Raw genomic sequence first — 17,127 nt, 5'->3', positions numbered from 1 at the left:
CCTTCTACTACATGATCATGGTCTATTCCTCCATTCATTTAAGTCTTCTTTAATTTTGCTTAGCAATGTCTTATATCATTCCATGTAGAAGTCTTGAACATCTTTTGTTAGATTTATTCCTATGTGTTTGGTTTTTTTAATGTTATTGTAAATAGCATCCTTTTAAATTTTAATTTTCTGTTTATTGACAATATTTAGAAATACAATTGATGTTTATATTTACTGTAGACCTAGTATCCCTAATAAACTCACATGTTTTTTGTTGTTGTTGTTTTTGAGTTGTTGTTTTTGTTGTTGTTGTTTTTGAGTCTCACTCTGTCACCCAGGCTGGAGTGCAGTGGTACGATGTTGGCTCACTGCAACGTCCGCCTTCCGGGTTCAAGCGATTCTCATGTCTCATCCTCCTGAGTAGCTGGGATTACAGGCATATGCCACCATGCCTGGCTATTTTTTTGTATTTTATTAGAGATGGGCATTCGCCATGTTGGCCAGGCTGGTCTCGAACTCCTGGCTTCAAGTGATCCACCTGCCTAGGCCTCCCAAAGTGCTGGGATTACAAGTGTGAGCCACCATGCCCGGCCTAAGCTCAGATGTTAAATTTTAGTTACTTGTAATATTCATATGTAGATTATTTGGGTTTATCTATGATACACAGTCATATCATCTGTGAATAATAACAGTATTATTTATTCTGTCCCAGCCTTTATGCTTTTAATTTCCTTTTCTTATGTTCTATACTGGCTCTGTGCCTTTGGAGCTAATGAGGTTTTTTCCCTCTTTTCTTCCAGATGAGGCTGAGGCACACATTGACTATGAAGATAACTTCCCTGATGACAGATCTGTGTCATTCAGAGAGCTCATGGAGGATTCCCGGACAGAGGCAGATGAGGACAGGGGTCAGGGAGACTCCTCTGAGGAGGCTCCAAAACAGGACCGTCTGGTCTCCATTTCTGTGGGGAGAGAAAACATAGCCCGGGATAAAGTCTTTGTGCCAACCACAGGCTTGCCTGGTGCTGGGAGCAGTGTCCCCGCAGATTCACCAGGATCACGGCTGCTCCAGAAGCACTTGTTCTGGTTTCCTGCTGAGGCTTTCCACAAGCCTGGGTTGGAAAAGGAGGTGGATGATGACACCAAAAAGCAGTTTTCTGCTGGAGACAACCACAGTGGTGTAAAATTGGTCCCAGGTGAACCTGAAACCAAGGTGATCTACGGCAACACTGATGGTCCCTCGGGGCCATTTGTGGGCAAGAATGACAGCAAGGCAGGAGATCCAGTGGTGAGCAGCAGTGATGAGTCCTGGTTAGATGGCTACCCTGTGACAGAGGGGGCTTGGAGGAAGACAGAGGCAGAAGAGGAAGAAGATGGGGACAGAGGGGATGGGTCAGTAGGGCTGGATGAAAACGTCCTAGTTACTCCTGATCAGCCCATTCTTGTGGAAGTTAAGAAGCCCAAGAGTAGCACCCTCACACCAAGCGAGGGCATGACCCATAGTTCAGTTCTTCCATCTCAAATGCTAGATGTGGAAGCTTTGGCGCTCAGACCCGTGAATGCTTCCGAGACTGAGGGCATTGGGGATGGTGACTTGACGAAGTACCAGTCAACTCTACCCTGGAGATTCATCACAGAGGAATCTCCCATGGCCACCCTGTCCTATGAGCTCACCAGCTCCACCCTGGAGATATTAACAGTGAACACTGTCAAGCAGACACCTAACCACATCCCCTCAACGATCATGGCAACCACCCAGCCTCCAGTAGAAACCACTGTTCCTGAGATCCAGGATAGCTTCCCATACCTGCTGTCTGAAGACTTCTTTGGACAGGAAGGCCCCGGGCCAGGTGCAAGTGAGGAGCTTCATCCCACCTTGGAGTCGTGTGTGGGGGACGGATGTCCTGGCCTCAGCAGAGGCCCTGTGATCGCCACCATTGTCACCGTCCTGTGCCTACTGCTGCTCCTGGCAGGTGTGGGGATGGTGTGGGGCTACCGCAAGTGCCAGCACAAGAGCTCTGTGTACAAGCTGAATGTTGGCCAGCGGCAGGCTCGGCACTACCACCAGCAGATCGAGATGGAGAAGGTCTAGGCACCTTTGGAGTGGGTTCTCCCAAAGCCACTTGGGAGGAAAATAACTGTGACACATCACACGATAATTCACTAGAGCATGACGCAGGTGGACTGAGGCTCATCATTTTTTCCTCAGCCCTTTGTTTTATAGGCTGAGAAGTGTCTCTGGAGCACCTGGGAGGGCAGGGAGGCTTTGGTGACATCATCACTCATGTCAATGTCTCCTCCACCATCTGCCCTGGAATTGACTACACTAATCCCAGACCTGTGCTTGGGCCCTGTTTCCAGTGTGAGGTCAAAAATCGCCTCTTCCTTCATCACAGTATTATCTTTTTTTTTTTGAGACAGAGTCTCATGCTGTTGCCCAGGCTGGAGTGCAGTGTCCCGATCTGAGCTCACTGCAACCTCTGCCTCCCAAGTTCAAGCAATTCTCCTGCCTCAGCCTCCCAAGTAGGTGGGATTACAGGCATGCACCACCATGCCCAGCTAATTTTTTTATATTTTTAGTAGAGATGGAGTTTCACCATGTTGGCCAGGCTGGTCAAGAACTCCTGACCTCAAGTGATCTGCCCTCCTTAGCCTCCCAAAGTGCTAGGATTCCAGGTGTGAGCCACATCACAGTATTACCTTTTTGAAGAAAGAAAATCACCAGCTTCATGCCCTGAAATTTTATAAATAGTCATGATAAACCAAGTGTATGAGAGCAGTATTATCTAGGACATGGATATTGAATTATTGGGAGAGGAATATGGAAGAATAATGGGTTGTTTCCTTTTAATGTTGTGATGTTGCTGAGGGCAGATGAACCAAGAGCCAGGACACAGTCTAGAAGCTTTGAGGTTTCTTTTTTCATTGTTTCTTGAAATTAGAATTTAAGACTGACATTTTGTTGGGGGAGTTGAGGAGTGAAGAAACACACATCCCCCTCTGTTCCCTCCATTCTGTGGGACAGTCTGTCATTTATTTTATTTTATTTTCAATATTTCATGGTTAAGGATTTGCCATTATTTTTTAAAAACAAAGTTAGCTTTGTACCAGTAAGTACCATTTCCTCTCAGAAGCAGTGGCCTAGTTGTCCTTGACCAGTCTGTGCCTAGGAATGTCTTGGAATTTTTGCCAGGACTAACAAAACTCAGTCCTTGGTTTCCTCTCTCAGGATTAACCATTTCTCTGAACTCCAGTAAGAGAGAATGACACGGGAGAAAAAAAAAAGAAATGTTTTCAGAGGGCCGAACACCAGGTTATCAAGTATGGGCACATACTTGATGGAGAAGCAGAAGAATCTGTGAAAGAATATGAAATGATCTGTGCTGATCTGTTCTCTAGTGTGGAAACTGGGAGCTCTGTGGAAACAGAATCCATCCTGTCTGTTGGGTAACCCATTTCGTAGCATCTAAATCATCTTAGGGTGGCTCAGCGAGGATGGTTTATGGCAGTGGTTCTCAAAGTGTGGTCCTCAGACCAGTAGCATCAGCGTCACCTGGGAATTTGTTGGAGATGCAAATTCTCTAGTCCCACCCTGGACTCAGGAAACAGGAACCCTGGGAGTAGGGCCCAGTTCTGTTTTTAACAAGCCCTCCAGGTGATTTTGATATGCACTCAAGTTTGAGAGCCTGTTGGTTTATAATAATCTCAAATGTGAACTTCGAGGCCAGCTGAAGCCCTAAAGGCACAGATGAGTATGTGGTGTGTGTTGTGTGGAAGTCAGGCATGGCTGTGTGCAGCTGAGGTGGCATTTGAAGCTGCCTAAATGCCACCTGCAATAGTCTCCTGTATGTTGGCACAGAAATGAAACATGTTATATTTTTCTAATATGAATCACCTTCTTAGAAATAGTTATCAGTGGTAAAAAGTGATGAATGCAACACATTTATTTTGAGACACCATAGCAGTCTAAGTGTTTTTGTGTGGTAGAGGGAAATCCTGATCTTTTTTATGATTGAAAAATTGTTGGTGGTGTTTTACCTAAGGAAAAAAAACATTCGCAACATGTTTTCTACCCTGCCACCTCTTTTCAGCAAGCTTTGGAAAAGTAATAGGCGAAGTAGCTGTAAAGAGAGGCAGCATAATCAAAGATCTTATTCCCCATAGTTGGGTAAAATAAAGCCTGAAGGTACCAACTAGAATACCTGTGCATCAGACGAAGTCAAGAACAATAGGAATAAAATGCTTTCTGCATGTAGCCAAAGCAAAACATAATAGAATAAAAGCCAGAGACTGTATATATTTATAAATTAGATCCTAATCTACTGCAAGATAACTTTTCTATTTTTAACTATATAAAATAACCTCTGTCTCAGCATTGGGACTGTGTTAGCAACTATTATTGTGGAATAACCCAGAACATTGGATTTATACCAACAAATAGGCAATATTAATACAGTGTATTAATAAATTTATTACAAATTATTAATACAGTGTATTAATAAATTTATTACAAATTATTAATACAGGTAAATGTTTTATTTGTAGACATGGACTGTGAAATAAACCCAACACATCAGTTTTTAAGTTCTTATTGGTGTGGTATCCTCTAAATTAATGTTATAGAATCTAAAAATTCATGTTGAAAGGGAATGATTAAAACAATGTAAATCTAAATTGTATGTCATGCATGTTTTGAGAATGGTGAATGTTTAATGCTCATGAAAATTGGGGGAGGGGGTTCTATTAACACAAAGCTTCTGAGATATTTAAAATAAATAATTATTGCCCCAACAGTTGCTGAATGTATTTTATTTCTAGGCTACTGCACCAAGGTTTAAAAAAAGAAAAAAATTCTCGCTGGGCACAGTGGCTCACACTGGTAATCCCAGCACTTTGGGAGGCTGAGGTAGGCAGATCACTTGAGGTCATGAGTTCGAGACCAGCCTGGCCAACATGGTGAAATCTTTTCTGTACTAAAAATACAAAAATTAGCCGGGCGTGATAGCATGCTTGTGGTACCAGCTACCCAGGAGGATCAGGCAGGAGAATTGCTTGAACCCGGGAGGCAGAGGTTGCAGTGAGCTGAGATCATGCCACTGCACTCCAGCGTGGGGGACAGAGCAAGGCTCCATTCAAAAAAAAAATCTCTAGTAATCTTGAAAATAATGTCTTAATACTTGCTATATCTAAGATCTAAGACTGCCCTTTCTAAACCTAACTCTCAGTTATGTTACCTCCTGCAGCAGGATTTTAGGGAAGTTGGTGGCACTCTTGCCCCCCCCTCCCTCCCTACTTCCCTCTTCCTTGCCCCGCCCCCCCCTACTTCCCTCTTCCTTGCCCCAACCAGAGACCACTTACTTCACTGCAACGAAACACCCGGGACCTCGCTATTCAAAGTGTGGCTCCTGCCCCAGCAGCACAGGCACTGCGAGCTTGTTAGAAGTACAGAATCTCAGGCCCTGCCCCAGGACTGCTGAATCAGGATCTGCATCTAACAGGATGCCCAGGTGGTGGGCATGAATGGTAAAGCTTGAGAAGCACTGGCCTAAGAGAGAACTGATTATCCCCTTTCTCCTAACTCACAGGACACTCAAAGGAGTAATTAGAGGGTTAGCTGAAGGGACTGTTCACAAAGGTGTGGGGAAAGTTAGGGGAACCATCAGGGGATGGTGGGGACCTGTTATGGAACCCAACAAGAGCTCAGTAATAGGAAAGGCCCTGCAGGACAAGGGCTCTGGCCTCAAAGAGAATGCAGCCAGTGTCCAACTGTGGCCTGGAGGAAGCAAAGATTTTAAGGAACCAGACCTTGTCTCACCCTGCCATCTCTTGTTGGCATGTCCCAGTGGCAACTGGAAATCAGAGGGTGAAGAAGCCCAGGCAATGGAACCATAGAGGTCAGGCTTCTGGGACACCGGGCATGTTGGAGGGGCATGTTGGAAGAGATACGGAAGGGCAGCTAGCAAATCCAGCTCAGACGCCATCAGCACCAATCCCATCTGCCTTATGTCCATTTTTACATCCATGACCACCACAGATCCATGCCTCCCAAGCCTTCCAATGTTGTGGACATTGTTGATGCCCCTCCCAGGTCCCCTTTGCTAGGTAGGTGAACCTGTCTTCCAGCTGCCCTGAGTGTTGGCTGTTAAAATGCTCATAAGCACGTAAGTGTACCCTTCCAACGCAGAGAATTGCCCTTGGCCTATTGAGAGTTCCCTCACCCAGGAAGTTAGACCACGGTATACTCTGCTAGGGCAGCCTATAACCAATGACCAGCTGTCATGGGAATGCAAAAGGCTGGCCTCCTTTCCTCAAGGTGGGACCAACTCCGATATGATTCATGCTCCAGAGCTCCCATGAGATCAAGCTGAAGTCAGTCTCCAACTGAAGACACATCCTTACTGGCTCCTTCCTGCTTCTCTCACACCCCTTCTCTTGAGAGCACCCCATCACTTCCCTTGCTTCAAAGGATCCTGACCTAAGACATCCATCAACACTCAACTCTTACTCCCTACACCTCCTCTCCTCAGTCCAGATTTTTTCACCATAACCTCTGGAATTCTTGGGCTGACCTCCATGTCCTCCACCTCTTCTTCAGACAGCTGTTTCAACTCTCCATAACGTGGACTTCTTTTTGTGCTGGCTGGTTCCTCACTCTTTCCACCTGCTTCCTTCTACTCTTCTTTCTCCTGCCTGCCCTTTAGTGGCATGCATGGAGCATAGTTGCTGTTGACAGTCATGCCTGAAGATGCTTTGTGTCCCTGTTTGAAACAGATTCCAAATGTTTTTCCTAGTGGGATTCCAGATCTCCTCTGAAAGACAATCTTCCGGGGGAGAGGCATGAGCCTCTACTGCCTGACAGGACCTCAGCCAGCTCTTGGCTCATGGAGAGCAAGGACCACTCCTCTTGCATGAGATCCAGGAGTCCCTGGCTTGAAGTTTCTACTTTGTTAGATGAATGTCAGAAATTTCACAGACCTGAGAAAACAGAGCTCATTACAACATAGCTTCTAGAATGTGGTGAAGACATCCCTGTCCAGTGGATAGAATAGAAAATAGAGAATAAGCAATGTAAAACATTTAATGTGATTTAAAAAGAAAAACAAAAACCTTTTGTTTTCAACTATTTTCTAATTTTCAACAAGAGTGAGCTTGTACATACCACACTAACCCAAAGAGGGGAGGCAGAAAAAGACATCAGCAACGGTCTTTGGAGTTTGGCCTACTGGCTGCCACCCTAAAGTGGGAGATAAAACTCTGGAATCTATCTTGTATCTGTTGGCCAAATTGCTTAATTCCTTCCTATTCTCTTCTTGTAAAATGAGGCACTAATATCTTACCGGCCAGCTCCAAGGGGATATAGAGCCAACTCACTCATTCATTCAACAAGCAACGAAAGCCAGCTATTTGTGTGGGGACAGTGTCAGGTGCAAGGATATGTGGCTGTTCACGAGCCGGCCCTAGACGGAAAACACTCTAAGGATAACAATAGCTGCTCTTGATTCTTATTTCTGGGGTAGCAGTGGGTCAGTCAAGGCAAAGCCGGGCTGTCATGGTGTCCTCTTTCAGGGAGATGTCATGGGCACAGGCATGGGGATCAGTCTTGCCCCTGGGGGCAGGCACAGGAAGTCCAATGCATAAAACCTTTGGCTGAGGCTTACTTAAGGTTCCTTTCCTTTTTTTCTTTCCTCCCTTGTACATAGTTTAAACTCTCCACACTAGGTCATTCAGGCCTGGAGTCACCAGAAAAAAAGAAGTCACTGTTTGGGGGATGGCAGATGATCAAGAGTTCAGACAGCTGCGATGAAGGATTAGTTGTGGGTTTTTCTCAGTGCCTTGCTACAAACTGTGTTGCAGTTCCATGTTCTGACACTATTAAATAATGTTTTCTCTGGCACCAATCCACCTTTTCCCTACAGTTTAAGTATTGATTTTTTTTTTTTTAACTGAAGTAGCTTCAGTTTACGGCTCACATTTAAAACCTAGAAACGTTATTTCCATAAATGTTGGCAGAAACTGGTCACTGTTTATTTCACCAGCAGTCATAATAAACCCCTTCCAACTGACAATCTAACAAATCATTTTCTGTTTGTCACTAAGGTGGGTTCAATAAAATTTTTGTGCTCTTAAAATTCCCCTAATAAGAACTCCTGAAAGCACACATTTCCTTCCTAAGGCAGCCCTTGTGGTCAGTGCTCGCAGTGGCTCTCTTTCTGAATTCCAGAGGTGAGCACAACAGGTTAGTTGTAGTAATTAGAAAGTCTCGAAAATCAGGAAGGTATTAGTATGTTGCATATGTCGGTATGTGCTCATTTCAGTCAGTCAGTCACTTTTAAATACATGGGTGTACACAAACCTCCCCTCAGCCCTTCGCTTCTCCACAAGTCAAGTGTGAACAGTAGCAGTGGCCACAAGGAGTATCTTTAGACCCTTCCCAGCGGGTGCCTCCTGTTTGGATGCCCTGAGTGGCAATGGGGCTGGACAGATGCCCCACCACGATGGGCGGCCTCCCCACCAGCCTGCAGAACCAAACAGCAACCACTGAGCTCCATGCTGATGGGTCAAAGGACAAGCAAGGCATCTTAGAGCAGGCCTGGAAGCTCCCACAAAGCTTACAAATGTGTTTGTTTTTTCGAAGACGGGCCAGACTTGAGGCTGAACCAATGGGGTCTCCATCCAGGAATCTTCTAGGCTCTTCCAAGAAGCACACTCAGGGAGGTGTTGGGTTGAGGTCATTGAGTGCAGCCTGCACACCAGGGTTTCATGGTAGGTTTGGAAGACCCAGCCCAGTTTTTGTTTTTTTTTTTTAAGGTTTGGTTTCCTTTGAAATAGAAATTTTGGTAACTCAGCTCTACAGCCTTCAATCAAAGCAAAGTACTGACAATATTGACTGTACTATCACCCGGGTCCTCAGGGGACATCACTAGGGTAGGGGTGGAGGTGCTTTTCAATCCCCAGTGAAAGGAGGCCAACTTCAGAGAGTGAACGAGGACCCCCCAGCATGCCAAGTCAACCCATACGTGGAACAACAACATGTACAGAGAGCTCACCCCAGGCTCACAAGACAAGGACCCAACAGTACCTCTGCAGGGCACAGAGGTGGAGTGAGTCACAACACCCAACCCTGCCTGGGTCCCTGTGGACGTCGGCTTTCATTTTCTCACACAGCTGGGAAGGACACTGCAGCCTGAGGCTATAAGGGGAGTTCACAGCTGCTGGGCACACTATTTACAGACTCAGGAATCCCGGAGCAGGGCGTCCACTCGCTGGGTCCCCCACTACTTTCTAGTCCTGTCTCATCACCCTCTTCCCCACTGAGTTCAAAAGGAAGTTTCTCTGGTGGAGTAAAGGTTGGGGTGAGGAAAGAAAGGAGAACCCGGCATCCCGTGGGTGAAGGCCATCTCCCCCAGCAGGAAGCCACGTAAGATCTGACGCATCGCTGGGATTGGGGGCTGCTGTGGACACGGTGCATCCACCAGTAATAACACTGACTCCTCGGGCCAAACACCCCCGCTGGGAGTACAGATTTTGTGGACGTGGGCAACTTCAGCCCAAGACAGAAGTGGTAGGGGACTGTCCTGGGTGGGTACCCTCAAAGGAGAACCTGATGCAGGGATTCTTGTGCAGGTGAGTGAGGACGTGGTGTCAGAAGGGATGAGGAAAGCAGGATAGAGCTGAAGGAGAAACAGAAGGATGTGCCCGAGTTCCCCGAGGTTGGTAGAGTGTTCTGGGGGATAAGGGAAGCCCAGAAAAAGCACAACGTGTGAGTGTTCCACCCCAATTAACCACCATTACACAAAAACCCAAACACTCTATCCTTTTATTCCTTCCCAGGCTATTGCAGGAAAAGTCTTGTTTCCCAAACGCTGTGCCTTTCTCCTCTTGCCTTCAACCCTGGAGGGGCCCAACTACACAAGTGGCTTATTTGGAGAAGGGAATGAGGTTGAATAAAGAAAGCTCAGCTTCCAGAACACCACACTCTCTTGGTTTTCTCTGACCTTAAGGTAACTCCTTCTCAGTCCTTTGGCTGATTTCCCATTTCCCAGAGAGCCCAAGGGCTCCATCCATGGCTCTTTTCTGTTGCTTCTCAGTAATACTCAGAGACAATCTCAGTGGCCCCTCCAGCTGCATGGCTTTAAATGCCACTGACATGCTGATGGTTCAGTAGGGGGCGCTGTGGTGCCCTGCCAGATCCCTTCACACAGCCAGTGCCCAGGACCCCCACCCCCAACACACTACCATGCATGGTAGCTGCCAGATGCCTACAGCCTCTTTTCCAGAGACTTGCCCTCAACTGAAGTCACTTGCCTTCAAATGTACCCACACTCCCAGAGAACTTCTCACAGCCAATAAATGACTGATAAAGGCTTTCACAGGTTCCTTCTGAGAGCACCCCCAACAATAAACCAAGTGCATTCAGATCCCTGTCTCGAGCTCTGCTGCAGACCTGACCTGAGAGAACTCTCCACTTTGATTTGCAGCCAGAACCTCCCATTCCAACCACAGACAGCCTGCTTTGCACCAAATTCCATACTTACCCAGCCCATCCTTCCCTATTTCAGTAACTGGTAACTCCATCTTTCCTGCTATTCAGGCCAAAAACCTTAATGTCATCATTAACTCTTCCTTCTCTTACACTCCACATTCAAACTCTCAGCAAATCCTATTGGCTCTTTTCAAAATAAATCTAGATATTTGACCACTGCTGTTGCTGTGGCCCAGGCCCAAGCCTGGAACCTTGCAGTAGCTTCCTAACAGGTCTTCCCTCTTCCTTCTGCCCTTGTCCACTAAAGTTTTTCACAATATGGCAGCTAGAATGACCCTTGCAAAATATAAATCAATCAAGGCACTCCTCTGTTCAAACCCTCCAGTGGTTCCCATCTCACTTAGCAGAAGCCAAGGCCCTCCACCACCTGTCCTCCCCAGCCGCCTCTCCTTCCATTCTACCCCTGCCCACGACTCTGCTTGGTCTCCCTGCTCTTTCCTGACCACGTAGAGCAAGTTCTCACTTTGGGGCAGTGCACATCCTGTTCCTCTGCCTGGAATGCCTTGTCCAGGATCCACTTCCCTAACGTCTCTGCTCAACGTCACATTCCCAGTGAGGCCCCATTTAAAACTGCAGCCTCATCTCCAGGATTTCTTACTCCCTCCCCTGCTTTATTTTTCTCCACAGCAATTATCACTACATGATACCTTGTATATATTTATTCCTATGTATTGGCTATCTCTTTCTCCCTGTAGAATGTAAGCTCCATGAGCACAGGGAACTTTCCCTGTTATTCTGTGAAGTATCTCTAGTTCCCAGGTCAATGCCTAGCACACAGTAGGTACTCAATAAATATTTACTGAAAGAATGAATGAAACTAGACAGCTCTGGCTTTCTTCCTTTTCCAACTCGGAGACTTATAACTAAGCATTGTCCTCAAATGGGATCGGCCAACCGTTGTAATTTTGGAGATGCAAAGTGGGGCAAAAGCCACATTTCTGCACTCTACACTCTCTACTCAACTTGTTTTTCAGTGGGTGCTAGAATTGGTACAAGTCAGACCAAGTGAAGACCATTGTGAGGCTGGAGAAATTTAGCCTATGTCTTCCACCATCTTTCCCGGATGGGGAGAAAGGAGACTAAAATCTGGAAAAGCAAATAAGCCAAAGGAGGTTTTCACAATTATCATCTTCTAGGAATGTTTTTCTTATTTAAAAAATAATACTGATTTTCTGGGAAAAACAAAAAAACAAGCCAGAGAAGACTGCCCTTCAAACCAAAATGGTAAGAAAGGCAGCTATGAACATGGGGAAGACAAGTGTGAACATGAGGAAGACAGGGATGAAGGTGTGAAAACAGATGTGAGGATAAGAAGACAGGTGTAAAGGTGAGAAAGAGGCCGGGCATGGTGGCTCACGCCTGTAATCCCAGCACTGTGGGAGGCCAAGGCAGATGGATCATCTGAAGTCAAGAGTTCGAGACCAGCCTGGCCAACATGGCAAAACCCCGTCTCTACTAAAAATACAAAATTAGCCGGGCGTGGTGGCACATGCCTGTAATCCCAGGTACTCGGGAGGCTGATGCAGCAGAATTGCTTGAACCCAAGAGGCGGAGGTTGCAGTGAGCTGAGAACGTGCCATTGCACTCCAGCCTGGGCAAGAGAGCGAGACTCCATCTCAAAAAAAAGGTGAGAAAGATAGGTGTGAACATGAGGTGGCAGGTGTGAAGATAGGAAAGGCAGGCTCACCCCTGATGACATGCAGTTAGAGAGACGGGGGCTTCCCTTTCACTTTGGAGAGTAAAGAGAAGGCTCTGAGGTATCAACAGCCTGGGCTGTTGGGAAAAGGACAAAGAATCTGTGTTTCCTGAACGCCAAGAGGAAGTCTCTTTGGTTGCTGTGGGCTAGCTGGTCTCCTCCAGTTCCAAGAGGTCATCCACATATTCCACAACTTCTCCCTGTAAGAGACAACAGGACAACTTTATTAAATGGGCTATTGGACTTTTAAAAGTACTGATGAGCAGAAACAGTATCCCGAGAGGCCATCACCACTGTCTGCTTTGGCTGAAACAGGTTTTTTCTGCTGGTCTGGGGCCCAGAGGACCTGATTTCTCCCTGTGGAGGGGACCTCGGCTTCCACTCCATTTGAACTTGGTATCAAGTGCTCTGCGAGATCCGCCAACATGCTGTGTGAGGCGGACAGCCCAGCCTGTGAACAGCTCTACTAAGTGGCCCTCCTGTGTGCATCTCTGCCTACTCCCCTTCCTCCCCTCTCATGTGTGCAGGTCTCCCACAGGAACATTTTCTATCTGTTCCCTTTCTGCCTTGACCACCAGAACCCAAACTTCTCAAGGACCAGGGGACTGGGTTGATTTTTCTTCCCCAGAGTCCAGCACACAGAAGGTGCTCAATACATGTGTTGAAGGATGAATGATTGAGTGCTTGCATACATACTGCTGGTGTGACTGAAGCAATCACTCCTCTTACAGGAGAGACACACAGGGATAGTGGGATCCACTTGCCCAGTGTCGGTACCAGGAGCTCACCTGCTCCCTCCTTCTGCAATCAGCCTTATACTTCAACTTGAAGCAGCCCAGCACCCTTCCCAATTTCTTTCTCCACATTGACTTCTCTTCTATAACCCTCCTGGACCACCAGCTGATGACACCCATTCTCTTTTCTGCAGAGAATGAGTGAATGACCAAGGCTGAGGCCCCTTCCATAAGAGTCAACACAGACTGGCCCCACCAACCCTGCTAAAACTCGACCTCCTTCACTGAGCTCACCATCCCAGGCCAAGAGCCTGTTGGCTCCTTTTGATGTTTTAACACAGAGAAATTTATAAAAATCTTGCAGCATTTGGGAATAACTGGAAAACCTATCAAGTACATGAGACACAAATGGGGGGTCTTAGTATTATCATCAAATACTTCTACTATGTCATGCCTGAGATTAGAAACTCAAACTGTAGACACTACAGCTTGGAAAAATTGTTTTTCAGTTGCTTTCTAGACCCCAAAAGGAAAACACAGCATAGTAGAGGGATTATGTGTATAGCTATGACTTCTGCTTAGGGAGTTACTATATCCTGCTGTGTGTCTGTTGTGACTTGCGGGATGATGGTATTGTTTGCTTTTAGCTCACTAGTAATAAGTGCCCGAGGCAGCACAGACGAAAGAAATGCATCCCCTGCATGGCTGTTGTAGTGAATACTGTTGGGGCCTCACTCAGATCTCCTTCCCAGTGCACTCATCCCCAACTCCTGTGAGGGCTGCTTGCTAATGGCTAGCAGCTGCCCCTTCTCTGGGCAATTGCCTTTGGCCAAAAACAAAAACAAAAACAAAAAAAAACAGCAGTCTTGACAGGGAGGTTACACACCAGCCCTTCCTGGCAACGAAGAACGAATGACAGACTGATAAGGGGGACTACAAAAGGCAAGAACAACTCTGTGGTGCAATTCATGCTCCAGAGTCCCCCATGGGAGCAGGCGAAGCTTGACTCCAGCTGAGACCACGTATTTGTTGAGCTCCTTCCCCTGACCCTCATTCCGTTCCTACCTGAGAGCACTCCCTCAATACATCCTTCCAACAAATTATATTCTATTTCTTTTGGACTTCCCTGAAGCAAACAACCATCAGAACTTGAAACCTGAAGCATCTGTTTCAGCCTGTTTTAAAAAGTTTCTGAAACTGTAATAAACCTCTGCAAAATTCTGAACCAGTGCGTAAACTTTCAGGAGTGCTTATACACATTTCAACACCAGAAAGATAATAAGGAAGAATGCCACACATATCAGCAGCTAAAGTGTACTGATGCTTTGTTTCAAAGGAGTATTATGTCCTTTGGAAAATGGAAGGACTAACTAAGAATTTGATGATTTTGGTTATATTTTCATTTCAAAGTATTACTTGCCATAATTTGGTATATAGTAAGAAAATGGTTCATTCTTTAGAGATGGATTAGTTCTTCCACAATTCTAAAGCCTCAATTAATAAGCAAACTACTCCAGAACCTTCAACAAAGTCCTTTTATCTTGAAAGTGCCAAATCCAAGAATCCTAGGAATTTTAAAGCCTGCAATAAGCTTGGCGTGTTCATTAGATGATTACTAACCCTCTGTGTGACTATGAGCAAGCCACTCTGCCTTTCTGAGTTTGTTTCCTTATCTGTGACATGAGAGAGCTTTACTGAATCATGTGAAAAATCTCTTCGTGTTCTAGTATCTATGATTTGCTTTCTATATATGTTGTTCTTGTACATCAGAAGTCTTGAAAATGTTCACAGCCTTAGGCCAGGAATTTCACCACTGGGAATTTTTTCTAAGGAAATGATTAGAGAAGAAGTAAACAATTTAGTCCCTGCTATGCTATTTGTAAAAGCAAAAAGTTGGAAGCAAACTAAATGCCTACAAAAAGGCTATATTTCTTAAAATTATCTATATCATGTAATATTAGTCACAAAAAAGTCATTTTTATAATGAATATTAACAAGGGAAACAAAAATCATGTGACCATCTCAATAGATGCAGAAAAAGCATTTGACAAAATTCAACACAAATTCATGATAAAAACATTCAGGCCGGGTGCGGTGGCTCACGCCTGTAATCCCAGCACTTTGGGAGGCCAAGGCAAGTTGATCACCTGAGGTCAGGAGTTCGAGACCAGACTGGCCAACATGGTGAAACCCCCGTCTCTACTAAATACAGAAAAATTACCCGGGTGTGGTGGCACATGCCTGTAATTCCAGCTACTTGGGAGGGCGAGGCAGGAGAATCACTTGAACCTGGGAGGCGGAGGTTGCAGTGAGCAGAGATCACACCACTGCACTCCAGCCTAGGCAACAAGAGTGAAACTCCGTCTCAAAAAAAAAAAAAAAAAATTCAACGAATTAAAAATAGAACTTCCTCAACCTAATAAAGGGCACCTACAAAAAACCCCCAGCTAATAACGTACTTTCACATTTAATGCTGAAAGACGACTGTATGCTTTTTCCTTTTAAGACTGGGAACAAGACAAGGATGTTCACTCTCTCCACTTCTTTTTTTTTCCAGAGAGACAGGGTCTTGCTCTGTCACCTAGCCTAGTGTGCAGTGGCATGCTTATGGTTCACTGTACCCTCCCACTCCTGAGCTCCAGCAATCCTCCCACTTTAGCCTCCTGAGTAGCTAGGATTACAGATGTGCACCATCATACTTAGCTAATTTTTTTTTTTAGACAGTGTCTCACTGTGCCACCCAGGCTACAGTACAGTGGTGTGATCTCGGCTCACTGCAACCTCCACCTCCTGGGTACAAGCGATTCTCTTGCCTCAGCCTCCTGAGTAGCTGGGATTACAGGCATGTGCCACCACGCCCAGCTAATTTTTTTGTATTTTTAGTAAAGCAAGATTTCGACCGATTGGCCAGGCTGGTCTCAAACTCCCGACCTCAGGTGATCTGCCCACCTCAGCCTCCCAAAGTGCTGGGATTACAGGTGTGAGCCACCACACCCAGCCTAATTTTTTTATTTTTTGTAGAGATGGGGTCTTGCTATGTTGCCCAGGCTGGTCTCAAACTCCTGGGTTCAAGTGATCCTCCTGCCTCAGCCTCCCAAAGTGCTGGGATTAGAGGAATGAGCCCCTGTGCCAGGCCCACTCTCTCTGCTTCTATTCAACATAGTACTAGAAGTTTTAACTAGAACAATTACGCAAGAAAAATAATACACATACACATACAAACTAATAAATAAGTTCAGCAAGTTTGCAGAATCAATACACAAAATCTATTGTATTTCTATTCTTTTAGAATATGCCCAAAAGTGAAAATAAGAAAACAATTTCATTTATAATAGCATCAAAAAGAATAAAATGCTTGAATACTAGGGGTTGGAAAGAATTTATTTTAATTTTTTAAAAAAGAATAGAATGTTTAGGAATAATAAAATAAGAAAACACTGTGAAATAAATTTTTAAAAAATCCAAATAAGTGGAAAGACTTCTCATGTTCATGGATTAGAAGACAATATTAAGAAGCCAATACTCCCCAAAGAGATTTATGTGTTCAGTGGAATTCCTATAAAAAAATCCCAGCTGCCTTTTGCAAAAACTGAAAAGCTAAACCTATAATTCATATGGAAATGTACAGGACCCAAAATAGCCAAAATCATCTTGGAAAAGAAGAACAACGTTGGAGGACTCACAATTCAAATTTCAAAATATAGTATAAAGCTACAGTAATCTAATCTTGGTTGAAAGTCCACGTAATTTAAAAAAAAAAAGCTATATTAATGAAGACAGTGTAGTACTAACTTTAAGGATAGAAATCAAGATGAGTGGTATAGACTGAGAGTCTGGAAAATTAACTCTCACATTTATGGTCAACTGATTTCTTTCAAAGGGTACCAAGACAATTCAATGGTGAAAAAGTCTTTTCAACAAATAGTGCTGTAACAACTGGCTATTCACATGCAAGAGAATGAAACTAGACCTCTTCCTAATATCACACATAAAATTAACTCAAATGGGTTGTAAATTTAAATGCAGGAGTTAAAATTACAAAAATCGTAGGAGTAAAAATCAGGAGTAAATCTTTGTGACCTTGGATTAGGCAATGGTTTCTTAGATATGACACACAACACAAAAGCAACAAAAGAAAGAACAGATAAATTGAATTTCATCAAATT

The 17,127-nt window shown here is 44.9% G+C and overlaps 2 protein-coding genes across 6 annotated transcripts in view, besides 1 other annotated feature; one reads left to right on the top strand and one right to left on the bottom strand.

Annotated features, from left to right (window-relative positions):
• SUSD5 (sushi domain containing 5) overlaps positions 1–4,779 on the top strand; it is a 68,768-nt gene extending 63,989 nt beyond the window's left edge. For both annotated transcript variants that reach the window (XM_005265034.4, NM_015551.2), the window contains one exon: positions 789–4,779. In XM_005265034.4, the coding sequence (XP_005265091.1) occupies positions 789–2,080 (1,292 nt within the window). In that variant the 3' untranslated portion in view covers positions 2,081–4,779. The remainder of the gene's footprint in view (positions 1–788) is intronic.
• Positions 808–2,007: an enhancer, noted in NCBI's record as "CDK7 strongly-dependent group 2 enhancer chr3:33194307-33195506 (GRCh37/hg19 assembly coordinates)". NCBI's record gives its function as "activates an origin of replication core promoter dependent on BRD2, BRD4, P300/CBP, MED14 and CDK7 cofactors, with strong dependence on CDK7, by STARR-seq in HCT116 cells {active_cell/tissue: HCT116}" and the evidence as "EXISTENCE:reporter gene assay evidence [ECO:0000049][PMID:35650434]".
• CRTAP (cartilage associated protein) overlaps positions 7,049–17,127 on the bottom strand; it is a 33,760-nt gene continuing 23,681 nt past the window's right edge. For 3 of the 4 annotated variants that reach the window (NM_001393363.1, NM_001393364.1, NM_001393365.1), the window contains exon 6: positions 9,792–12,427. In NM_001393363.1, the coding sequence (NP_001380292.1) occupies positions 12,374–12,427 (54 nt within the window). In that variant the 3' untranslated portion in view covers positions 9,792–12,373. Of the gene's footprint in view, positions 12,428–17,127 lie in introns of all 4 variants that reach the window. The other variant, NM_006371.5, reaches the window with a different exon arrangement.

The sequence above is a fragment of the Homo sapiens genome, chromosome 3 (assembly GCF_000001405.40).
Source record: "Homo sapiens chromosome 3, GRCh38.p14 Primary Assembly".
Classification (NCBI taxonomy): domain Eukaryota; kingdom Metazoa; phylum Chordata; class Mammalia; order Primates; family Hominidae; genus Homo; species Homo sapiens.
Note: the sequence above shows the minus strand (reverse complement) of the source record. Positions and strands in the feature narration are given on the sequence as shown.